This window comes from Homo sapiens, chromosome 16 (assembly GCF_000001405.40).
Source record: "Homo sapiens chromosome 16, GRCh38.p14 Primary Assembly".
Classification (NCBI taxonomy): Eukaryota; Metazoa; Chordata; class Mammalia; order Primates; family Hominidae; genus Homo; species Homo sapiens.
In genome coordinates, this window is record NC_000016.10 from 63,729,401 (window position 1) to 63,756,202 (window position 26,802).

The following is a 26,802-nucleotide window of genomic DNA, read 5'->3' on the forward strand; positions in this document are numbered from 1 at the left end:
ATGCACAATTGTTTGAAAACCATCCATGCTGCCTTCTTACTTCCTCTAGAACTGCTCCCTGAATTTTACCCTCGAAACAAGTTTACTTGAGTGAGAATTGGAAAATAAGTAGGAGCTTGTCAAGAGGTAAACAAGGCAAAGTAAACTCTCCTAGTAATGACACAGGAGGTGACATATGTCTCATGCTACATATGACCTTTCTGTCCCTCCAGCAACACGTATTACTCTGAGAAATGAACACAGTTAAAAGGAGAAAAAAACTGAGCCATCAACCTGAGACACTGTTTAGTAACAACTAGCTTGTTTACAGCTCTTTCTCTAACATAAAATGCTGTTCAACTTTTTGAATTATTTCTCTCACCTTTCTTTTAAGCAGAGAACTCCAAAGCTAGATATAATCTGCAGATAATATTACTTTGAAATTGTCTACATTTACTGAACACATAGTAGTCCTCTTTTATCCATGGGTGATATGTTCTAACACCCCCACTGGATGCCTGCAACAAGGAATAGTACCAAATTCTATATATATTACTTTTTCCTATACATATGCACCATGATAAAGTTTAATTTATAAATTAGACATAACAAGAGATTAACAGCAATAACTAATAATAAAATAGAAAATTATAATAATATACTGTAATAAACATCATGAAAATGTGGTCTTTCAAAATAATTTAGTCATATTTTCTTTTCTTCTTCTTGTGATGGTGTGAGATGATAAAGTGCCTGTGACGATAAGATGAATGAGGTGAATGATACAGGCATTGTGACATAATATTAGGCTACTATTGACCTTCCGGGGATACAGCCAAAGGAGGATCCTTTGCTTCAGATGATCCTGGATCATGGAGCCATGAAGATGTTGATAGTTGGATATCAGGAACAGATGATGTCAATCACTAATGGGTAAGTCACATCTGCCTCATGGAAACATTGGACAAAGAGATTATTCACATCCCAGGCAGGATGGAGCTGGATAGTGTAAGATTCCATCAAGCTACTCAGAATGACGTGCACTTTAAAATGTATAAATTGTTTATTTCTGATATTTTTTATTTAATATTTTCAGATCACAGTTGACCAGGGGAAACTAAAATCATGGGAAACAAAACCATGGATAAGGCAGTACTACTGTATACAGTTGGCCCTCCATAGCCATGCACTCTGCATCAGTGGATTCAATCAGCCATGGATAAAAAAATGTTTGAAAAGTTTAAAAGAATGGTTGTTTCTGTACTGAACAGGTAAACACATATTCCTTGTCACTGTCCCCTAAACAACGTAGTATGACAACTATTTACATGGCATTTACATTACATTAGTATTATAAGTAATCTTGTGATGATTTAAAGTATACAGAAGAATATGTGTAGGTTATATGCAATTACTACTCCATTCTATATAAGGATCTGTAGCATCTGCATAATATAATATCCATGAAGTGTCCTGAAATCAATCCCTCATGGATACCAAGGGACAACTATATTATATTTAAATGGACTAAGAAGGAGAAGAATCAATAATTATTAAGGAACAACTAATTTCCAGAGGTCCTTTAATTTAGGGAAATGGATATGTAAAAAAACAGACACTGGATTTATGTAGGTCACTATCTGATAAATAGACTACTAGCTCTAGAAATTCAAGGGGTATTTGTGTAGGATAAAGTATTATGGGGTGAGAACAGACATGTTATGGACTCTGAGGGCACAGAATATAATACTGGAAATTTAGAAAAAGATTTTACTTAATCTTTTTGCAATAAAAATTGTATATGTGCAAACAAATGCTAATATAATAGAAATACCAGGGATTATAGGAGTCAAAATATTCAGTGACGTTCAGTGTGTTATCTAAGATCACATGGCTAATAAGTATAAGAGCACAGATTTAAAGCCAGGTCTCTCACATAGAAAAGGTGAGGCTCTTTGTTCTACCAGATTACTGAAAAATAGCAATATTCCTTGTTCTTAAAATAAGAATCTCCTCTTTTTGTGGTACAGGTTAGGTGTTCAAGCTGTGTTAAATCACATCCCTGATGTTTATGTGGTCAGGATATGTGCCCTTGAGTGACCAAGCAGAAGTGAGTGGAACTTTCTACCATGCTTTGTATGCTAAGACTTCCATCAACGAGTGATTTTCTTGCTTTAAATTTAATGCTGACTCCATTCAAGCAGAAAATAGATTTGAAGACAATGAAAAATGTGCCACTTTATTTCCCTAAGGCCTTCTCTGCACAGTAGGCCTTGAACAAAAGTAATTTCATAAGGAGAGACAAACAACTAAGTGAATCTTCAAATACAAAAATTTATTGTTTTTTTTTGCTAAATTATTTTACTAAGTATTGATTTTCTGATTCTTATTATCCATCTTCAGATCACAAGGCTTAGTGTAGAATTTGCTTACACTGTGATAACAAAATTCATAATCAAATGGGAAGAGGAAATAATCCTACCGTGGTGCATGCCATTTTTCTATCCAAGGGAACCTCGTAAGTTGCTGATAAGAATAAATTGCAGTGAATGAGAAAATCATGAAAAGTCAAAAATTAAAGGATCCTTAGTGATAACCTGGCACAGTGATTATTTTTTCCCTTCCAAGGGGAGGAACATTTTATTTTTTGAATTGGAACATTTTTGTTGCTGTTTTTCTACATGGTCACCATGTTTTTAGAATATCTTCTAATGTAGTAACATTGTATTTATTGAGAAATAACGGCTAATACTGAATTTGTTCAATTTCAAAAATGGGAAAATGTGCAGAGTGTATGATCATAAACAACAGTGGTAACAATAGCAAGCAAAACAACTCTCTGGGAAATCCAAATAATTCCTGACCTTCAAGAAAACCTAGCAGGTCTGAGGAGGTGATTGTCATAGTTGATTCCAGTGGGGTCTACGATAGCATATCCCCTCAAACAAAGTTGAAAGAGAAAGGGACAGTTGATTCCTTTATGGAGTAAAGACCATAGAATAAGATCAAACTGAGAGGCCAGATTGTGCCTTCAAGAGCATGGAGAGAAATCTGAGAAATACATGACAATGGATTTGACAAGTGAGCATATGGAGGTAGAAGGAATTAGTAAGTTTAAAATGGAAGAAAGTTGAGATTTAGAAAGATACCTTTACAAAATTCCTGGATTGTCCATTTCTAGTGTCCCTTCACTTGCTGGTGCCTCATAAGTACAATAGCTTAAATGTCTAGAGAGAAGGAGGCCATGTAGGAGACTTTAAGTTATATACAACCTCTAGGTGTCTTTGTTGGGCCCACAAAGTGCTTATAGCTTCTATTTGCTGTGTCTCTAGAACATTTTGCAAGAAGTGGGACTTGTGTTACTGTATGGTTCCAGTTTTCAATGCTCATGTGGTGGCTTCACCCTTTAAATAGCACAGTAGGTATGCTTTCCAATTTGAAGACTCCAATATTCTCTGTTGTCTGACAATCAGTCAACTTAACTTGTTTAAATAATTTGTCTGGCCTCTGATGCATTTGAATTTGTCATCTGATAGAAACTGCTATGATATTTGAATTTTAAGGCAAAGTTACCAGGTTTTAATGAGCACCTAAGATCTTGCTGAAATGTAGGTTGAAATTCCCTAGGTCCAGGATACTCCTTAAGGCTTGTCCGTCTAACAGGCTCCCAGGTGATGCCAATACTGATGTTACACAGACCATACTTCAAGGAACAAAGACTTAAAGCAAGTGTCTTCTTCTGGGGCCTGAGAAAAATGTTTATGTGAAGGTGATTTATTTGGTAATATGATACCAGGGAATAGGAATACAGGGCAGGTAAGTGACACAGAGAAGGAATAAAAGCCAATACAAGGATAGATGATCAAGTTGGCCGCTAGTGTGAATAACTAGTGACCAGTCCCACTGGGAATTTTTGCAGAGCTTTATGAAATATATGTCAAAATTTGCTGCCTTGGGGATAATAGGGGGAAAATTTCTATCAGATTTTGTTCCCATTGGCCAAGGGTGGGTCCATGAGCCCGCACTTCCAGGTTGCACATGAATGCTTGCAGAGACTTTTACTATGACAGTCCCATCTTTACACATCAAATGAATCCCCAGAGTATGAAACAGAAATAGTTACAACATGGACCAAGACAATGTGCTGTTCAAGTTGCTCCTCCAGGAAACTAGTCAAGGCCTACTTAAATCAGTTGTCACAGAAACTATGAACGACTAAGAAGATTTTGAAGTGATGCATGAGAACTCTAAGATGCTTTAGTATGACTATACAATGCCCTGAGCTGGAGCACTTGGCCACAAAACTCATGTCTCTTGGAGGCAAAAGCCAAATGACCTTTCCAGCAGTATGCAACATTGCTTTTCCCAAAGCAAAATCATGATTTTGCCATGCTAATGGTAAAACCATAGGCACATTGCCAGACAATGTTTCTAGGAAGAAAAGAATGTTTTGTTTTGTTTTTCTTCTTTTAAGATTAATAGATGACCTTTAAGGGACTGGTAAAAGTTAGTGTAGCCTCTTCTTCTTCCAGAGTTTCTGTGGCCCCTTCGTGCCTTCCAGTTCATGAAATGGTCACTAGTTGGCAGAGAATCAGACCCAAATCTTCTTTCTACTCTCTAAATGGAAGCCATACTCTGTAGTGGAATTATTATGCACTATTAGTACATGATACATGTGCACATACAGATGTATAAGAAATCTCTCTCCTTTGAAGGAGTATTCCTTTTAGCATTCCTGATAATGCTACTGAACCAAACTATGTCTGTATTCCCTATGGGAGTCCAAAAGCTTATCACCACTACCAAAACAATGGCTAGAGAAACTAAGCACCCGTGGGTTGTAGGTGGTTCACCCTTTCACTTTTTAAACTATATATCTAAAACCAGAGTGGAATGACAGCTTATTAGAGCAATGTGACATTCTTTATGTAATTAGAATGTGTCCAAACATTTATTCTGTGCAATAAACATTTAAACCAGAATTCACTGTTTTTTTTCAGGTTGGGATAGATATGTTCCCTGCTTAACTGTTATGATTGCATTACTCTGCCCTCAGGATGAAAAAGGGTTATTGAAACCTAGGGGACTTTGAGTGTGTCAGTAGCACATAGACAATCTTACCCATGAGTTTCTAGCTGTTTTGTACTGTAAGAAACTGACATATTCACAAACTGATGGGATTAAATGGAGCATCAAGTGACCTACATTTGGCAAGAAGCCATGTTGTATAGGGACAGGAGCTTTGGCACAAGCGTGACAATAAATTCTCTGTATTTTTGAATTGGATTCCAGCTCATCTTTAAAACAAAATTTGGGACTTCATATTTATTTTCTAGATTCTAAAACCCCAGTTTACAGTTTTTTTTGTTTGTTTGTTTGTTTGTTTGTTTGTTTGTTTTGAGACTGAGTCTCGCTCTGTTGCCAGGCTGGAGTTTAGTGGCGCAATCTCAGCTCACTGCAACATCCGCCTCCCAGGTTCAAGCCTTTCTCCTGCCTCAGCCTCTTGAGTAGCTGGGACTACAGGTGCGTGCCACCATGCCTGGCTAATTTTTTGTATTTTTAGTAGAGATGGGGTTTCACTGTGTTAGCCAGGATGGTCTCCATCTCCGGACATCATTATCCACCTGCCCCAGCCTCCCAGAGTGCTGGGATTACAAGCATGAGCCACCGCGCCCAGCCTCCACATTCTTAAAGTAAGCAAAATATTATTCTTGCTCATCCTCAGGATTGTCAAGGAAAACAAATATTTTAGTTTTGCCTCATACCACACACTGGGTGAAAAAATAACAGATCAAGAGATGGTAAGGTGCTTATAACCAAAAAAGGACTACATGGGGGTTGTTGTGTATTTTGGCAAACCATGAAGGAGGTAGTATATGTATTTAACTCATTAATTACATCCTATAATTTACACCACCTTTTCAATGCCCCTTTTACTACTTCATGGTCACTTTACTATTTTCAAAAGTCTTCTTCACTTCGGTGCTTCATGAGAAATCAACGACCACAAAAGATAATGATAATGTTGACAAAGGTAACAATGATGACATAATAGTTTGTGTGTGAATATTACAATTTTAAAACCATGTTAGTATCTATTGCTCCTACAAATGGCCAGATAAACAAGTCTTCATTTTTCATATTGTCCATGAAGTTCTGAAAGAATAAGTCCCTTGATCTCACTTGCAGAATTAATAAGGTGTAGCTTCAGAACTTCAACTAGGTGTGTCTGGCTCCAAGGTCATTGTTGTTTTTAATGTCACCACAATGATTGCACAATCATTACTTCAATCCAGCATTAGTTATTCTTTCAAAAACCAGGCAGGAACTTCAACCTTCTTAAAGGCACAAAAATTTCTAGAACATCTGAAGATTGCACAAGCTCATTAAGATAACTATATTATTTTCGTGGTGTCCCATATTGAAGAGTGTCCATGAGTCATTCACTAGAATTCTATGGAAAGAAATAGAAATCTTCATAAAATAGTATGTGCAGAGTAGCTACAGATTGGACTTGAACTTTATGTCCACCGTAGACAGGAATAAGATGCAAATTATAATTCAACAATAAATTAGGCTCATTATAAGGAAATTATTCTCAAATTTAAAGTTACTTAATACTAGCATGAGTTCTTTTCTAATTTTTTTAGGAGGCCCATATATGGCTACTTCTAACTGCCAAGAACTCACATTAGAAATAGTATTGGCTGTCTTAGGAGACAGCAAACTCCCTTATGATAGAATGTAAAATCACCAAATTGGGTTAGTGTTAGGCAACTTCAAACTGCTGTGGAGAACTGGATTAAATAACCTTTAATTTACTTTTTGCCTCTGATAATAAGTGATTCTCACAAAATCCATTTCCTTGAAATCTCAGACCTACTAGGCAGAGAGTAGTAGGTGGCTTTAGAGAAAACCATGGATAATATTCCTAAGGAAAGAGTCAGCTCACCTGTTCATGCTGATAGCTAGCACTGAACAAGGTATGCAAACTATGGTGGCATATCCTCCATCATCTCAGGATATGAATGAACAAATCACTTTTATGTCTCCTTCATCTTTTATTAGAGTAAGAAATCTGTCAATATAATTAAGTAGATCTACTTATTTAAATGAAAGAATAGGCATTTATTGAGTATCACTTAGTATGCAAGCACTGGGCCAGTTTTAGAGATTCGGAGAGAAAGAATAAACTTATCTTACAGTTTTTTGTTTGCTTTTTATGTTTTGTTTTGTTTTGTTTTTGAGACAGAGTCGTATGCTTGTTGCCCAGGCTGGAGTGCAATGGCACAATCTCTGCTCACCGTAACCTCCACCTCCAGGGTTCTAGGGATTCTCCTGCTTCGGCCTCCCGAGTAACTGGGATTACAGACACCCACCACCATGCCTGCCTACTTTTTGTATTTTTATTAGAGACAGGGTTTCACCATGTTGGCCATGCTAGTCTCGAGCTCCTGACCTCAGGTAATCCACCCACCTTGGCCTCCCAAAATGTTGGGATCACAGGCGTGAGCCACTGCGCCCAGCAAAGTTCATATTTTTATGGAGGCAAATGTAGGCATCTAACCTAAGAGGTAGCAGATGGGAGAATGTTTCTTTTATTAGTGATAAGAAATATGTGAATCAGTTAAGAAAACTTCAGCCTCCCCACACACATAATTAAACCTTCCCAGTTACTGCCTTTCTACATATGATAAAAATGCAGTCACCTTATTTCCAAGTCCCTATTTTATCTTCGTCCAGTACACTCTGAAAATCCCATCTTATATACCATACTTCACTGCATTTGCTGTGTTCTAGCAACTCACATGGGTATTTTTTCTGCTTTTTAAATAGATCAGGCTCATTCTTTCCTCTGCTTGGAATGTTTTACCTCGATTCTTCAAATGATTGGATTCTTCTAAACAATTTTATTTCAGCTTAAAGTCATCTCCTCACAATGATATTCTTGAATGATTACACATTATAAAGTACCCTTTCACAAGACTCCCTCAGTAACAGACCAACATGATACAATTTCTTCCTAACGTATATTATTTTCTGACATAAGCTTGCATTCATATGGTTATCATTTTTTGTCTTTACATCTTCCAACTCCACTACACAGTGCTTGTGTGTGTGTGTGTGTGCATACACACACACACACACACACACACACAGAGAAACAAATTATATTAGAGTGAGATGTGCATAGATCATGTTCTCCATACCCTTAGTACCTGGTACATTGTTTGGCATAATAGGTGGGTGACAAATATGTAAAAAAGAGCTGCATTAAAGCAAAAAATTGAATATACAGTGTAAACAAAGAACTAGGGATAAGAAGTAACAGTAGGCATTCAGAGAGATGGAAAGTATAATAAAGTTTCAAAGAAAACCTAAAAATCAGAACAAAACATGGAAATGAGAACTTTCATAGATTTATCAGTAGAATGCATGACAGAGAGATGAATCAGAGAGCTTGAGATAATCCAGTAGAAACCTTCCAACATGCAGTTAAAAAAAAGAGCAGACACCCAAGAACAGTGGGATAATTTCAAAATGTCTAACAGACATGCAATTGGAATAGCAGAAGCAGGAAACAAAAGAACACAACAGAAGAAATACTTGAAGTAATAATGACTGAATTTTTCAAAATGAATGACAAACATGAAACTATAGATTCAGTAAGCTCAGAAAACACCAAGAAGGATTTAAAAAAAAAAAGAGTTGTATCATATGCAAACTATAGAAACCCAAGACAAAGATAATATTGTGACAGAAGACAGGGAATAAACCTTTTATTTACCTATAGAATTAAAGAAATAGCCATTACGCTGAATGTGTTTTCAGAAGCTGTGCCAGCAAGAAAAGAGTAGAATTAAATATTTAAAGTTTTGTGAGAAAAACAACCCTCCAACCTAGAATTCTATCCCAATAAAATTATCCTTCAAAAGTGAAGGGAAAATAGAGCCTTTCTATGACAAACAAAAACTGAGGGAACTCCTTGCCAGTAGAACTGTCCTGCAAAAAAATTTTCAAAAAGTTCTTTAGGGATGATTTAAATAAAAAAACTGAAACTTAAATCTACATAAATATAGAAGAAGCATCTGAAAATAATAGATGAAAGAAGAATAAAATATATTTTTTCATGTGAAGAGTTACAGTTTCATATGAAGATAGGCTTAGTTAAAAATGTATATTGTAAACTCTAGGGTAATGACTAAAAATAAAAAGAAAATATCTTGGTATGCTAAGAAATTAGATTAAATAGAATCATATAAAATAATCAGAAGCAGAGATGACATTAAAAGTTGAGGGCTGGAAAGAAACAAAGAATTGTAACAAATAAGAAATAGTTAAAAATATAGATATTAATCCAAATATGTCAATAATCACTTATTATATAGATAATATAAAATTCTAATTAAAAGACAGTCAAGGTGAATGAGAAAGCCAAATATATGGTGTTTTCAAGAAACTAATTTAAGTACAAATATTTATATATGTTAAGTGTAAGGGGATAAAGAAAGATATTTCATACTAACACTGATCTAACAAAGCTGGAGTATCTGTATTAGTTGCACACAAAGCAAATCTCAGGACATGGAAAATTGTCAGGGATAAATATGGCATTAATATAATAATTCAATTCTCCAAAAAGTTCAGTTCTCCAAAAAGTCATTAGAATCCTAGGTGTAGGTATGCACCTACAATCCTAAAGGTGTACACACCTAACAACAGAATATTAAAATATGTGAGATGAAAACTGATAGAATTGTGATAAACTATGTCAGATGAAAACTGATAGAATTGTGAGGATTAATAGACAAATACAGTATTATAGTTGAAGACTTCACCATGCCTCTTTCAGTAATTGATATAATAGGAAGGCAGAAAATCATTAAGGGAATAGTTGGCTTGTCAGGCACTATCAATCAACTTAATCTAATGAACATTTGTTGGGATATTCTATTCAGCAATAACACAATACACATTTCTCCCAAACTTCTCAGGTAATATTCAGCATCATAGAACATATTATGGCAAATAAGACACACGTTAACAAACTTAAAAGAAAGAAGTTATACAAAGTATGTTCTTAGACTACAATGGAATTAAACTAAAAATCAAAAAGAGAAAGATAACTAGAAGTTTCCTAAACATCTGGAGATTAAAAAAAACTTCTAAAGAACATACATAACAAAAAAGACTTAAGATATGTTAATATATTATATACAATTTTCACATTATATAATACACTGAGATATATATATGAGGTATTAATATATATTGAATTAAATCAAAATGAATTTACAACTTATCAAAATTTGTGAGATATAACAATATTAGAGGTTAGAGGGAAATTTATTGCATCCAGTGCATATATTAGACAAGAATAAAGATCTCAAATAAATAATGTAAAAGTTTTCACTTTAGAAAACTAGCAAAAACTAGACCTAAAACATGCAGAAAACAATAAAAGTTAGAGCAGAAATAAAAGATATTAATGAACAGAAAACAGTAAAAGAAATAGACAAACCCAAAAGTTGATTCTTTGAACAAATAAATAAAATCGATAAATGTAAACTTGGCTAACCAAGAATAAAAAAGAGAATATACAAGTTACAAACATCAGAACTGAGATGGGGATGAATCATTAATGGCCCTATGGATATTAAAGGAATAACAATGGAATGTTACAAAAAACTCTGTGACTTTAAATTTTATTATTTAAATAAAATTGACCAGTTTCTTAAAAGACATAAAACACAAAACTCGAATGTGGATAAATATATAATCTGAATAGGCCTATGTCTATTTAAAAAATTCAATGAATAATTTATAACCTTCCAAAAAATAAAGCCCCCTACCCAGATCGTTTCACTGGTGAATTCTACCAAACATTTATTGAAGAAATAACCCCAATTCTCCACAAAGTTGTCCAGAAAATAGAAACAGAGAGACAACTTCTTAAATCAATGTATGAGACCAGCATTATCCTGATACTGAAACAAGACAAAGGCATTATAAGAAAGGAAATATACATATCTATACCTCTCATGAACTTGGATGCAAAAAATTGTCAGTGAAATATAAGCAAATCAAGTTACACAAAATAAAAAAAGAATTATATACCTCCAACAAGTGGGATTTATTCTGGGTATGCAAGGCCGGTTGAGAATTCATAGATTAATCATTGCAATGAACTATGTGAACAGGATAATGGAGGATAATTTATATGATTACATCAATTGTTTTTTAAAAAGACATCTGACAATAATATATTTTTAAAAGTCTCAGAAAATTAATAATAAAGGCAAACATTCCTGATTTAACAAAGAACATTTACCAAGAAACAAACAAACAAATGAATAAAAATTAAACAAAACTAACATTATACTAAATGCTACGAGACTGAACAGGACAGGGAAAAGGCAAGAAAGTTATCTCACCAATTCAGTTCAGTATTGTACTGAACATTTCGGACGGTTCAAATACAAAAGAAGGGAAGGAAAAAGTAAACAGAATCAAAAGTAAGATTTGGAAAACCGCAGATGAGTTATCAGAATGACTTCTGTAAACAATAAGCAAGCATAGCAAGGCCACTGAATATTTTCTATAGTTAATATAGAAAAACTTATTTTTTTTGTATCAGCACAGAAATCAGAATTTGAAGTAAAAATAATGATAATACCATTTACAATAACACCAGATTAAAAAATACTGGTATAAAGCTAACAAATTGTGTGCATTACTTATGTGCAGAAAACTACATAGTTCTGATTAAAGAAACCAAAGTAGTTCCAAATAAATTAGAGATATTTCATTTTTATGTATTCAAAGATTTAATATTGTTAAGATGTAAACTGAACGAAATTTGATTTATAGATTTAACACCATCCCAATCAAAATCCTAATATTCTATTTTGTATGTACTGACAACTGATTCTAAAGAGTATGTGAAATATCAGACGGCCTAGGATAAGCAACACAATACTGCAGAAAAAACAAGAGTTAGAGAACTAACACTTCCTGGCGTGAAGACTAAATATAAAGCAAAAATAATGAAGATGATGGTATTGACAAATGGAGACATCAATCAAGGTAATAAAATAGAGTCCAGGAATAGAATTGCACAAATATAGCTGACTCATCTTTGACAAAGAAGCAAAGCCGATTTTATGAAAAAAGGATAGTTTTTTAAAAAAAATCAATGATGTTGGAACAATTAGACATCTATATTCAAAAAAACAAATCTAGACACTGACCTTATACCTTTCACAAAAAGTAATCTGAAATGAATAATAGACTTAACCATTAAATGTAAAACTTCTAGAATAAAAGACAGGAGAATAGGTGACTTGGGATATAATAGGGACATTTTAGACACAACACTGAAAGTATAATCAATGAAAGAAGAAAAAACTGATGTTACACTTTATTAAAATGAAAACTTCTGCTATAAGAAAAACACTGTTAAGAAGACTTAAAAATAAGCCACAAACTGAGAGGAAAATTTTTGCAAAACATGTTTTTAATAAAGGATGTGTATGCAAAATATGCACCACTTTACTTAAAAAAAGATCCCTTAAAATAAATAAGGAAACAAACAATCTGACTAAAAGTGATCAAAAGATATGAACACCTCATAAAAGAAAGAAGATATGGACATGACAATCAAATGAAAAGATGTTCAACATCATATGTTGTTAGGGGATTGTAAATTAAAATAATAAATTGATACAACTACATACTTATTAGAATTGTTTTTAAAAATTGACCTTAAGATGATGACAATATCAAAACAACAACCACAACCACAACAAAAATCTTGATCATCCAAATACACTGGCCATACTAATTTCTGATGAGGATGCTGTACAACAAAATCTCTTATTCATTGCTGGTGGGAATGCAAAATGATATTACCACTTTGAAAGCCTGTATGGCCATTTCTTACAAAACTAAATATAGTCTTAACATATGACTCAGCAATATAATTCCTAGCTATTTACCAAAAAAAAAAAAAAAAATTAAAAACTATGTGCACACCAATACCTACACATGAATGTCTATATCAGTTTACCCATAATTGCCAAAAAGTTTGTAAGAAGTAATAAGCAATCAAGATAAACTTCAATAGGTAAATGGGTGAACTAAATATGGTGCATCTATGCAATAGAAGAGTATTCAGCAATAAGCTGAAATGAGCTATCTAACCACAAAAGACAGGGATGAAGCTTAAATATCCATTGCTAGTCCAAAGAAGCAAGCCTGAAAAGACTGTATAGTGCATGATTCTAATGATATGACATTCTATAAAAAGCAATAAACAAGCAACGAACAGATCAGTAAGAGGAGAGGACTGAAGAGTTTAATCACCCAGCAATTTTTAGGATGGTGAAGCTATTTCCTCTGATACTGAAATTGTGGACAAATGGCATTAGGCATTTGTTAAAACACAGAGCATGGTACAGCACAAAGAATGAACCCTAATGCAGGAAAGTTACAAATAATATAATCTAGAAGGTCTGGAGAATCCTATGTGGTAAGGAGACAATAGCAAAACAGTCTACTGGATTACAAATATATGGAACAACCTCACTGAAAAGGCCAGAGAAAAATGTGACCTAAGAAACTTCGGAAATGAGAGGAATCTATAAAACTAAAACAACTATGAAAATAAAAACTATAAAAAAGCACTGTATTCTAGCTGATATAGTCAGTTCTCATAGAGGTAGGTTTAACAATTCAGATAATTAAATAAAAGAATTATGTAATGGAACACTTAAGTACATAAATAATACATACTGGTAGCCAGGCTTCCCATCATTGGAGTTGGAGTTTAGGGATAAGTAAGTGGAAGTGCCTATAATGATTATAACAATTATATAGGGATTAGAGTTGAGGACACGAAGATGAAATAATGTTTGGATCAAAATGGATAAAGAAGATTTTATGTATAAATATAGACATGTGTATACACACATCTATTTTCTTGTTCTTTCAACTGAGAGAGTCTAGAAGCAACAACACCTCAGTAGCAATGAATTCATCCAGCACCCTGATCTTGGTTTCTAATACTGCTACTAAACAAAAGGAACAGGCAAGGCCTCCCTAGAAAAATTGCTGAGCTTTTTGGGAGCCAAGATGACCAACGAGACACAGCAGGAGGAACATCTGCCATTGAGAGACTGGGACATCAGGAAGACTGACACACTCCAAGCAGTTCTTTGGAGGGAAGACATTGAGAATGGGTGGAGGGAGGACACAGATGCCAGGCTAAAGGGGAAAGAAACTGGGAACACCGCATGGGACTAACAAGCACCAGTACTTGTTCGTGGCCCCCAGTGACTCCTGGGAAGGGGTGAGTAGAACAGGTAAGGAGTGACTCACTGTTGCCACAGACCTCTAGAATGCTGGCAGCAGGAGACCCCATGACCCCCATGGATACTTGAGCTCACAAGGAAAGCTGCTTAGAGAGGTGGCAAGGACAGGACTTCAGTCTGCATGGAGCCCAGAGAGTTTGGTGTAGGAATGTCTGTTGTGGAGCACAGCCTGGAATAACAAGTACCCAAGGCTCACCATCCTCCTCTAGAAGACTTTAGCCTTAGCATGAATCAGACCTGGACAGAGAGCAGAGCAGTCTTGCCCATGAGATAGGGCCAGTCCAATCAGAGTGCCTCCCAGTCTGCTGGCTTCTCCTAGGGCCCTAGCCTAGTTACGCCTGCTTGTAGCACAGCCTCAGATGGTCAAACAGGCTGTTCCCAGGGACCTTCATCATAGCTCTTTTGCCAGCAGACCGCACTTGACCACTGGAGAGCTGCAGTAGAGGGACCCCCACCAATGCACACCAGCCCACCCACATCCTCCCACCACCTCAGCCTCCCCCACACCTGCTTGCTGGCATGTACTTGACCGCAGCCATACCCCATCACGTTGCTGGTGGATGGCACAGGCTGACCTAGCGTACCTTCCCCCTCCAGTGTATATGTGCCCATGCACTGCATTGTGCCACTGCTTGCTGCTGGCATAAGCACAACAAACCGTCTTCTCTCTCCCCACTGACACACAGGCACCAGACCACACCTCAATTGCAAGTGCCAATATGTGCATAGACTCTGGCAATCCCATCACCTCTCCTTCCCCACACAGCCACAGCTACCAGGGTGAATGCGTGTAAGGATGCCAGTGGCCCCACCCGCCCTGCACCAGCACTGCCACTAGTGCAAATACACGCATGGAGGCTGGTAGCCTCGCACCCACCAGTGCCCTGACCCTGCTGCTGCTGCTGCTGCTACTGGTACAAGTGCAAGCACAAACACCAGCCACCTCACTCCTGCCAATGCTCTGTCTCTGCTCATGTGAGCAAGTGCAGGAATGTCACAGCCCCGCTACTAATGGTATCTGACCCAAGACAACACATGTGAACAGTGACACACTGCTGCGACTGCTGGCATGTGCAAGCGAGCACAAATCCTGCTGCCACTGCCCCAACAAAGTGAGCCATCAACATCATTCAGAGTGTTGTGGCCAGCCAACTGGGAATACCTCAGCCCCTTCAGTGCACCAGGTTCCTAAATTCAAGGAGTCAGAGAACAAAACCAGGAGCTCAATACAAACCACCAGAGTTACAGCATGCAGCCTGGAAGTGCTGAGCTGAGTCTTATCCCTCTACAGTCTTCCAGAAATGAAGCCAGTCAACTGAAAACACCTTGTACCACCATCAAACACCCAAGGGCATCAAAGAACATAAAAGCAAAAAACCCTATCCAAGTACAGCAGCTTTAAAGATTAAAGGAACATCAGCCCACACAGCTGAGAAAGAACCATTGTAAGAACGCTGACAACTCAAAAAGCCAGAGTTTCTTCTCATCTCCAAATGATCACACTAGTTTCAAATCAATAGTTCTTAACCAGGCTCAAATGGCTGAAATGACACAAATAGAATTTAGAATATGGATAGGATTGAGAATCAGGAAAAAGTAAAAATCCAATCCAAGTAATCTAAGTAATCTAGTAAAATGATACAGGAGATGAAAGATGAAATGGCCATTTTAAGAAAGAGCCAAACTGATCGGATAGAGCTAAAAAACTCATTTCAATAATTTCATAATACAATCACAAGTATTAACTGCAGAATCAACCAAGCTGATGAAAGAATTTCAGAGCTCAAAAACTGATTTTCTGAAATAACTCAGTCAGACAGAAATAAAGAATAAAGCAAAATGAACAAAGCCTCTGAGAAAAATGAGATTATGTAAAGAGACCAAACCTATGACTCATTGGCATCCGAGAGAGAGAGTGAGAGAGAGCAAGCTACTTGAAAAATATATTTGAAGAGACTGTCCATGAAAATTTCCCCAACCTTGCTAGAGAGGCCAACATTCATATTCAGTAAATGGAGAGAATCCCTACCACATACTTATAGCACGCGACCATCCCCAAGATACATAGTCATCGGATTCTCCAGTGTGGACATGAAAAAACAAATATTAAAGGCGGTTAGAGAGAAGGGCCAAGATCAGTTAAAACGTATTCCCACCAGGCTCAACAGAAACCCTTTAAGCCAGAAGAGACTGAGGGTGTGTATTCAGGATTCTTAAAGAAAAGAAACTCCAACCAAGAATTTCATATCCAGACAAACTAAGCTATATAACCAAAGGGAAAAAATATGATACTTTTCAGACAAGCAAATACTTGTCTACCAAACCTGCCTTATAAAAGGTCCTGAAGGGAGTGCTAAATATGGAAAGGAAAGACCTTTACCAGCCACCACAAAAACACACTTAAGTACATAGACCATTGACACTATAAAGCAACCACATAATAGCTAGCTAACTATCTATAAAAAAAAAATTACTAATTCTAGGACTGGGGAACAGGAAATATACAAGTTGAGCCTATAGCATTTTGTAGTGACAAATGTAAAGAAGTACTAAAAACAGGCCGGGCACGGTGGCTCAAGCCTGTAATCCCAGCACTTTGGGAGGCCGAGGCGGGCGGATCACGAGGTCAGGAGATCGAGACCATCCTGGCTAATACGGTGAAACCCCGTCTCTACTAAAAATACAAAAAATTAGCTGGGCGTGGCGGCGGGCACCTCTAGTCCCAGCTACTTGGGAGGCTGAGGCAGGAGAATGGCGTGAACCCGGGAGGCGGAGCTTGCAGTGAGCCGAGATCGCGCCATTGCACTCCAGCCTGGGCGACAGAGCGAGACTCCGTCTCAATAAAGAATAAAAAAAAAACAAAAAACAAAAACAAACAAACAAAAACCCCAAAAAAACCCACAAAACACAAGGGGGGAGGTATAACAAAGTCACTTAAGATTCAAATGAAAAAGCATTCAGATGGCCAAAGCTGGAACAATTTAGGCAACAAAACAAATACAGTAGGATAGAATAATAGCCCAAAGTAGTAAAGCAATATTTATGAACCCATATATACAGATAAGTGATGAATAATAATTCATTATAAATAAATGAGGCAAAAAAGACAAATGTCACATGCAGAATATAGATAATTTATGTAGATAATCTGCCCTAAAGGGGATAGAGCATAATTCCCCACTCAGGTTTGTGCTATACAGAGTGTCTTCTTTTACAAGAATACAGTATGGAAAGAGAGAGAAAGTAGTAACTTTAAAAAGGAGAAATCTGACAGACATTATCTCAGCCATGTGAGCAAGTTTAACATCAGTGGTGATAACAAAGGTTGTTAGTATGCATCATCAACATGATGTGATGAAATGACAACCTCTGTCGTCTTCCTCTCAATAACCCATAATCGCAATCTCATCACAGCAAATGCATCAGACAAACCCAATTTAATGAACATTCCATAAAATAACCTGACCAGTACTCCCTAAAATTAAGATCATCAAAAACAAGGAAAGCCTGGTAAACTGTTACAGTGAAGATGAGCCTAAGGTGAGATGATTACTAAATGTAGTGTGATATCCTAGATGGAATTTTGGAACACATAAAGGACAACAGGGAAAAACTGAGAAAATTTAGATAAAGGGTGGGTTTTGTTTAATAACAATGTATCAGTATTGATTTATTAATCAATACTGTACTATGGGGAAGTACACCATAATAATTGAAGATCTCAATGATAGGGTAAACTGGATTTAGAGTTTTGGAAACTTCCTTTGCTATCTTCATAATTTTTCTGTACATCTAAAATTTTTCTAAAAAATAAAGTTTATTAGCATTTTTAAAAAATGCAGTTACATGGGAGCCAGAGAAACAGGAAACAAAGTATAAATGTATATGTCTGTCTATCACTTATTCATTCTTTTGACAAACTTGTAAAGAATAGCGCTCATCTACAAGTTACTCACAGTCTAATGGAATAAAAAGTAAAAAGGCAGTAACAATTTTTTTTCCAGTGCAAAGACTATACTTAGCCAAATTTAATCTGCATGTCTACTCTTGAAACCTTCCCATCTTTAAGAGTTCAGGTGGATCAAGAAAGCCAGAGTGATAGCAGCCACCATCCCATGTTATCCTGAAATAGTTTTTTCAATGCAGATTATGTAGAATGGTTAATAAAGTAGTTTCTTGATAAAAATTATAATGCCGACTATAAAATACTTTTATTATTCATGAGCGACTAAGTTAAGAGATATTTAAAATTTTTTTCCATTGATTTTACTACCGAGTCTACTTTCAAAATTAAAAATAAAAAGCCACAGGGCAGTGGCAAGGAATGAGAAAAAATATAATCACTAGAGTGTAAATTATGTGGCTTGGTAAACTGTTAAATTTTAAAGAAAAATAAAGTAAATATTTTTGACTCTTATTTCAGGAAAATGTGTAATAAAATACTTGACTTGGAATATTTAACCAGGAAAGCAGAATGAATAAAGGAAAGTAACATTTACTAATCTACTGTGTTCTAGGCCTTGTGGTAAATATTATTAGTAATGGTCTATTATTTATTTCTCATCTTAGTTCAGGTTGCCATATCAAACTACCATAGACTGGATGGCTTAAACAACAGACGTTTGTTTCTCAGTTGTAGAGTCTGGGAAGTTTGGAGTCTAAGATTAAGGTACTGGCTGATTTGATTCCTGGTGAGAATTCTCTTCCTGGCTTTTAGATGGCTGCCTTCTTCCTGTGTTCTCATATTGTGGAGAAAAAATAAAGATCTGGCCTCTCTCTTCTTCTTCTTATATGTCCACTAATGCCATCATCATTGCCTCATCTTCATGTAAATTTTTTCCCAAAAGCCCTTCTTCCAAATACCATGGAGTAGAGGGGACAGTAGGTTAAAGTGACACAAACATTCAGTGTATAACATCACCATAAGCTGAAAGAGTAAATGTTATCTTTCTTTATTTCTTCTTATTTTTCAGCTAATGAAGCTAAGGTTCAGCCAAGTTCAGTGAGTTGTGCAGGGTCTGCCAGCAACTTCAGGTCTAGCTCCAGGCTATTGGCCGAGTAGTGCTCAGCTATATAATTCACAGAGATAACTGTTGGTAGCAAACCTAAAAGCTCAGTGCCATAATACTGGGGAAATTTATTTCTCTTCCACTTTCAGGGTGCAATTCAAGTCAGCAAGGACCCCTACATCTTGTATCTGGTAAATCTGACATCACCAAGAGATTTGGCATCCTCCAATAGCTTCCCTGCATTAGGTCAGCACAGTGGGAGAAAGATCATGAAGGATTATGGAATGTGTTGTTGCTGTTGTTGTTGTGCTGTTGTTTAAGAGCCATTTTTGCCTATATTCTACTGGCCAGAATTCAGTTACAACATCACAACTCACTGCAAGGAGAGCACAAAAATATAGTCTTGCTGCATGGCTAGGTAGAAAATGGAAAAGAACAGAAAGGGTGTAATAAAACAAACAGTCTCAGCCTCAGTAGTAGAAAAGTCCCTCTGGAGCTTTAGTTTCAGAAAGACAGTCCTCTGTTATGAAGGAAGCTGATTACAGCAACTCAAGCACAGGTTGGGGTTTATAGGCATGACATCACTTACATATGGGCAAAGAGGAGAAGGAAAGACTTTTATTGAAAAAAAAAAAAGAGTCTCTCACCAAAAGACAAATCAAAATGAGCCAAACCATATGTGAAAAAGGCAAGGGGTATGGAAAGTGTATAAGGACAGGAAATGAGCAGTACAGAAGTTCTGATTAGTCAGTATGAGGAACACTTCAAATGAAGCCAAGAGGTAATTAAAACTTAGGAAGGAAACCATATAGACTGATGTGAAGCAATAAACTTCAAATTTTAGCAACACTTCTTGGGGTATAGTCAGTATTTCTGACAGTATTTCTGGGGTATTTCTGACAGTAATTCTTCTGATTGTAAAAAGTAGTGTAAGCTTGAGCCAAGACTTCAGGAATGTATACCATTCCAGGAAAGTAGCTTTCCTGTTGGGAAGCTTTATGGCTAAGTATCAGCAAAATCCCATTAAATCAATTGCATGCAGGTGTTAGAATTTTCCATAACATGTAGGGGTTGCAGGCAAAATCTTATCTCATCTAAAGAAAAGGCATCTGCACATGTTACCAGAGGTGAATTCCTATGGGTCAACCCAATTCTTGTCTCTCCTCAGCAACAACCTCAATTCTTGCCTCCTCGGACGAAAGAATTTGACCAAGGGAACATAAGGCAGAGTGAGAGACTGAGGCAAGTTGTAGAGCAGGAGTGAAAGTTTATTAAAATGTTTTAGGGCAGGAATGAAAGGAAGTAAAATACACTTGGAAGAGGGCCAAGTGTGTGACTTGAGAGACTGACATATGCAGTTTGACGTTTTACTTGGAGTTTTCTATGTTGGTATTCTTCCGGAGTCTGCCTCTCTCCTCCCCTGAATCTTCCTTTGGGGTAAGCTGTCTGCATGCACAGCGGCTTTCCAGCACCTGAGAGGGGCCACATGTGCAGTGTGTTTCCTAGAGTTGTATGCATGCTCACTTGAGGCATTCTTCCCTTACCAGCCAAATGTTCCCAGAAGGTCATATACCAGTTAAACTCCACCATTGTTCCTCTTAATGCCCATGCTTGAGTCCACTCACCTAATTCCTGAGATTTTATTGGGAAGCTGCTGATCCCCCGTTTCTGTTTTTTTCTAGCTATTGGGAGACTGCTTTTCCCTGATGCTGTTTGCGACCAGTTATTGTTTTAGACAGACAGTATAACAACTGCCTGACTATCACCTGATGGTTTCCTGACATTCCTGATTGGGGGGCTGAGGCTTCGGCCTTCCTCATGTCCAACTAGCTATCTACTGTAACACGCATAGTTCTTAAGATAGCCAGACAAGGATACTAAGTAGATAGATGACAAAATTTGAAATCCTATTGTATTTTCTCATTCTCATCTTGTCAAACCCTGATTTTTACTTCCTACAGTTATGTATAAATTGAGTCTTTAAAACCCCAATGTCTTCTGTACTGATACATCTTACATCTGGCTTCCAGTCATTTCTCATACCATAATGGCAATTCTAACCTGTTCTTTTAACTATTCCATCTTCACACCTTGTGTTTACTAGCTTGTTTCTTTGCTCCTGCATTCAATTCTTCCCAAAATGCAGGGCTTTCTTATTATGTACACGGAAATACCTACTTCATGATTGCTAGAGTTTGAACATTTGACCCTCCAAACCTCATGTTGAAATTTGATTCTCAGTGTTGCAGGTGGGCCTTAATGAGAGGTGGTTGGGTCAAGGGGGTGGATCCCTCATGAATTTCTTAGTGTCAACCCCATAGCATCCTCATAGTTTCTGTGAGAGCTGGTTGTTTAAAGGAGCCTAGCGCTTCCCTCCTCTCTCTCTTTCTTGTTTCCTGTCTTGCCATGTGATCTCTGCACATGCCAGCTCCCCTTTCCTTTCCACCGTGCGTGGAAGCACCTTGAGGCCCTCACCAGCTACCAGCACCATGCTTCCTGTACAGCCTGCAGAACTATGAGCCAAATAAACCTCTTTTCTTTATAAATTACCCACCCTCAGGCCTTCCTTTATAGCAACACAAACGGACTAAGAAACACGCTATTATATAATTTGCCATACAAATTTCTGCCTAAGTAATTATTACTTTGACAGTATTATCTAATCACTGGAATGACATTTTGTGTTTGATAAATAACCCCCAAATAATTAAAGGTCATAGCAAGACTATTTTATACATTATTACTTGAAAAATCAAGATAATACTTCATATTTTCTAGAGGACTTTTTTTTTCAAAATCCGGCTAATTCCATTAAAAAATAAGTTGGTTAGAAATTTCCAATCTGACATTTTACATGCTCAGATAAATAAAATAGTTTATTTCTGAAGATTCAATTAAAATCATTATTCCATTTCATTTTTGAAAACATATAAATTTTCCATTGTTTCATCAAATATTTAGGTATGGCACATTAAGTAGCTAATGTGACCATATTTCTTCTTCATAGAGAAGTTGGAAGATAGAATGATTCAGTTGAAAAATATCCATACACTGCTGAATTTCAGTAACAACTCTAATAACTAGCATCCTTATAACTATACAAATAGTAATTAATCTTTGCTAAATTCAATACTATCTCAAATAAAATAAAAATTTGGGTGACTGTGTGAAGCTAATATTTTTTAAATAATGATTCTATCTTCAGGTAAGGAGCTGGTTTTGTGTTTCATTTTGGGACTTGGTAGCAGAAGGTGAAAGTTTATTGCAGGTGGCTATAACCTCTCCTTATACTCAGAGATCATCTTGCCTATATATAAATATACTTTTTTTCTAACTTTTTATATTCATATAATTTTATCTATCATTTTTTTACTCCTTTAGTTTAAAAAAAAAAACAAAAAAACTCTAGGCAAATTTACTATACTTTAACAAAAACCACATTCCCATGCTGCCTTACTATGTTTTTTTTTTTTTTAACTAAAAACACATCTTACTTTCCTTATATATTTTGCATGAAGAATTTTGTATCTTATATGTAGTTGTTTTAATTACATACATTTGTTATAATGTTAACTTATATTTAGTGAAAGAACTAGGAAGTAAGAAATTTTAATTATGAATCAGATGCAGAGTCTGGGACAAAGGGCAGAGCTGCAGATAAGGGCTGACCCTTCCCAGCATAGCCAGGAGGAAGAGTTAGGCCCAGGAGAGCTCCACATGTCACTAGGCCTTGTCATGGCCATTTGTTTTACAGCCTAGAATCTAATGGCTCTAATACAGACAAGTTAAACAATTATCAAAAATATCACAGAAGTAGTTTATAAAATTAAACCATCCAGCAGACAAAATCTGACCTGCCTAATTCAGACCAAATGTCTAAATTAAATTTTGAAGTCTTTTATAATTTATCTTACCAATAATTTTAAAACTGTCTCATTAACCAAAGATTACTATAATTCCATGAACTAAAAGGCATTTGAGCTAGCTTTTATATTTTTGATAAAATATTTGATTTGAGTGCTTCCTTTTATTTTAAGCCAATTAATTACAGCTCATATCTTTTGGTACTGCAACATCACATACATGAGGCACATATAAATATATAGACATAGAGGCAAATAGAAGCATATCTTACAGATTATAAGATTCTTCATTTGCCAGTTTTTAGTTTCTGTCCTACACTTTAGACTCCCTATCTCTTGATTTTCTGTTTTCCGTCCCAAATAATTGCTCCCTAGGCAAGCCTGAATTTGAATTTCTAAAGGGACAACTCGTAAGTGATGCAAGGTAGAACATTTATGTCTCAAAGCACAGAATCAAAATATTAGGCCTAAATATTGTACTGCCATTTGCTCAAACCAAGGAAAAACAGTGGTATAAGTAAAAGTTCAGTTGAGATGTCCAGGAAAAGTACCTTAAACAAAGGTATTACTTACAAATTTAAAACAATGCTATGAGTTTCTAACATACACAGGCAGACACCCTTCCAAGTGGAAACCTTTATAAAGATGTAAATTTTTTGTACAAAAGTGTTTGAGGGGAGTCAGCTAAATGATAGAAATTTATATTTTGGTGCTCAAACTTAGCTTGTTTCTTAATTAGAATACCAGCTTCTTGGTGGAGCCCTGTGGTGAATATGGGAAGGAAACATGTAGATTTTAGGGCCTAATATTTAAATACGTGAGAAGAAAGCACAGCTGGAAGGCAGAACACAGATCCCCCAAAAATCAAGGGTCCTATTTTTACATCAAATCTTGGGTTCCTCCAAAGAGGAAAATGCCACAGGATAAAATGCTTTCACAGTGTACCTGACTGTAAGGACATATCCCTGAGGCTAGCTGCAATGCAATGCAATGCAAAAGAAACTAAAGATAGCAGAAAGGAGGAATAAGGTGGATTAAAAATAAATAGAACAATTTTAAGAAAGGAAGTAAACAGACGTGCCAAGTACATAATTGTTTAAAAATGTTTTAGCTGCCGGGTGTGGTGGCTCACATCTGTAATCCCAGCACTTTGGGAGGCCCAGGCAGGCGGATGATGAGGTCAAGAGATCAAGACCATCCTGGCTAACAAGGTGAAACCCCATCTCTACTAAAAATACAAAAAATTTGCCGGGCATGGTGGCGAGCGCCTGTAGTCCTAGATACTCGGGAGGCTGAGGCAGGAGAATGGCATGAACCTGGGAGGTGGAGCTTGCAGTGAGCCGAGATCACGCCTCTGCACTCCAGCCTGGGTGACAGAGCAAGACTCTGTCTCAAAAAAAAAAAAAAAAAAAAAAAAATTACCCAAAACAGGATCTCAAAAGAGAAGAAGCATAAAGACTATATACATATATATATATATATTTCTTCTGCAATGTTTTCTCTGAAAGATTTTGAAGAATGGGGGAAAATTAGAAAAAAAAATAAAATCTTGGGACATGAAACTCACTATGCCAAAGGGAAAGTTAAGCTTGGGAACTGAGTCATCAAAGCTGTCTTCTTTTTTTTCCCAGACAGCTGTAATTTTACAACCACATGTCATAGCCTCATCTCCTTTACTTCTTCTTTACTTTTTCTTTTCATATGTTTACTTTATCTTATATAAAATGTAGATATACTAAGTGTGAGACAGTGCATAATTGATTTTTTTTCTCTACTCTCTCTTTTCACATGTAAAATGTGGATTTACATACACTAATTAGAGCTTCATGAGAATGTAACCATTTAACTCACTGCCTACCCTCCCTATCTTTTTTTCCCCTCCTGCTTGCTCTTTCCCATTTAAATATTGAAGTTCACAAAAACCCCTTTGGAAAAAGCATAGATTACAAGTGTTACTGTAATTTGTGTGTTTTTCTTTCCAGGTGCATCTTCAATGTTAGCTAAATACACCTCTAACGTATTGAAGGAAAAAATTCAAACCAGACAGAGAGGACTGGAATATATAACTAGCGCTTCAGTGCAAAGACACAGACCTACATCATGAGAAACAACAGCCCACTAGGAACCATAACCTCCCCCACCCAAAAAAAAAAAGTCACTGACCATAGCAAGATAGCAATATGTGAGTTCTCTGACCAAGAATTTAAAATAGAAGTTTTAAGAATATGCAGTGCATAGCAATTCACAAATTTATGAAAGTAATTTAACAAATAAATTGAAATAATTTTTAAAAATCAAATAGACATCTTAGGAATCAAAAATGAATTTGCTAAACTGAAAAACTCATTGGAGGCTCTGAACAGAAGAATGGAATAAGCAAAGGAAAGAATCAGGGCGCTTAAACACAGGCTATTTGATATTACACTGTTAGAGAAAAAAAAAAAGAAAGAGAAGAAATGATAATCTCCTGCAAGATACAGAAAATTATCTCAAAAAAATCTAAGAACTACTGGTGTTCTACCGGGAGTTGAACAAGAGAAAGAGGTGGAAAAGTTACTCAAAGAAATAATAACAAAAAATTCCCAAACATGAGAAAGATAGAAATATACAGTTACAGGAAAATCAGAGAATGCCAAACATATTTGATGCAAATAAGACTACCCCAAGATAAATAATAATCAAACTCTCAAAGGTCAAAGACAAATTAGGAACCTAAAAGCACAAAAGAATAGTTGCAAATAACATATAAAGGAGCTTTAATTCCTCTGCCAACAGACTTCTCAGTGAAAATCCTATGGGCCAGGAGGGAGTAAAACATTTTTAAAGTGCTGAAAGAAAAAACTGCCATTTGAGAATAGAACAAAGCTATCCTTCAGATATGAAGGAGATATAAAGTCTTTTCTAGACAAACAAAAACAGTGACAATTCACCACCACCTGACCCATCTTATAAAAAAATCTTTAAAAAGTCTTCAATATGAAATTAAAAAAAACAAATAAACAATAATATGCAAAAAATGAAGCATTTGAAGGTATAAAACTCACTGGTAATATTAAGTACAAAAGCAACCCCAGAATACTGTATTACTGTAATTGTGGTGTGCAATCCAATTATAACACTAATTTAAAGCCTAAAAGACAAATCTGTTAAAAACAATGGTAGCTACAGCAACCTTTTAAAAGATAGGCAATATTAAAAAATGTAAATAGAGACAACCAAAAGTCAAAATGTTTGGTATGGAATTAAAATTGAGATTTTTTGGTTTGAGTTTGCTTTTGTTTTTATACATATTTCATGATCTAAGTTGTCAACTCCTTAAAATAACTTACTATACCTATTAGCTGGTTTTTGTAAGCCTCATGGAAACCACAATGCAAAAAGGTATAATAGGTACACTAAAAACAAAATTCAACAAGTTAAAATGTAGCAGGACGAGCTGCAGACAAAACCCCTCAGACACGGAATTGTAGAAGGAAGGGCTTTATTCAGCTGGGTGCATCAGCAGACTCACGTCTCCAAAAACCGAGCTCCTTGAGTGAGCAATTCCTGTTCCTCTTAAGGGCTTACAACTCTAAGGGG

General features: G+C 36.1%; 1 long non-coding RNA gene across 3 annotated transcripts, besides 1 other annotated feature; it reads left to right on the top strand.

Annotated features, from left to right (window-relative positions):
- The first annotated feature begins 836 nt into the window (after positions 1-836).
- On the top strand, positions 837-26,521 carry LINC02165 (long intergenic non-protein coding RNA 2165). Of its 3 annotated transcripts, none has more exons than XR_933668.3 (4): positions 837-912; positions 1,076-1,250; positions 2,010-2,089; positions 25,206-26,521. It is a non-coding gene; the product is annotated as a long intergenic non-protein coding RNA 2165 (long non-coding RNA). The 3 variants fall into 3 exon arrangements; XR_243458.5 differs by lacking the exon at positions 25,206-26,521 and adding an exon at positions 2,383-2,575; XR_933667.3 differs by lacking the exon at positions 25,206-26,521 and having other exon boundaries at positions 2,010-4,971.
- Positions 24,812-25,012: a silencer, noted in NCBI's record as "peak2614 fragment used in MPRA reporter construct". NCBI's record gives its function as "represses an SCP1 promoter by STARR-seq MPRAs in K562 erythroleukemia cells {active_cell/tissue: K562}" and the evidence as "EXISTENCE:reporter gene assay evidence [ECO:0000049][PMID:32103011]".
- Positions 26,522-26,802: the final 281 nt, after the last annotated feature.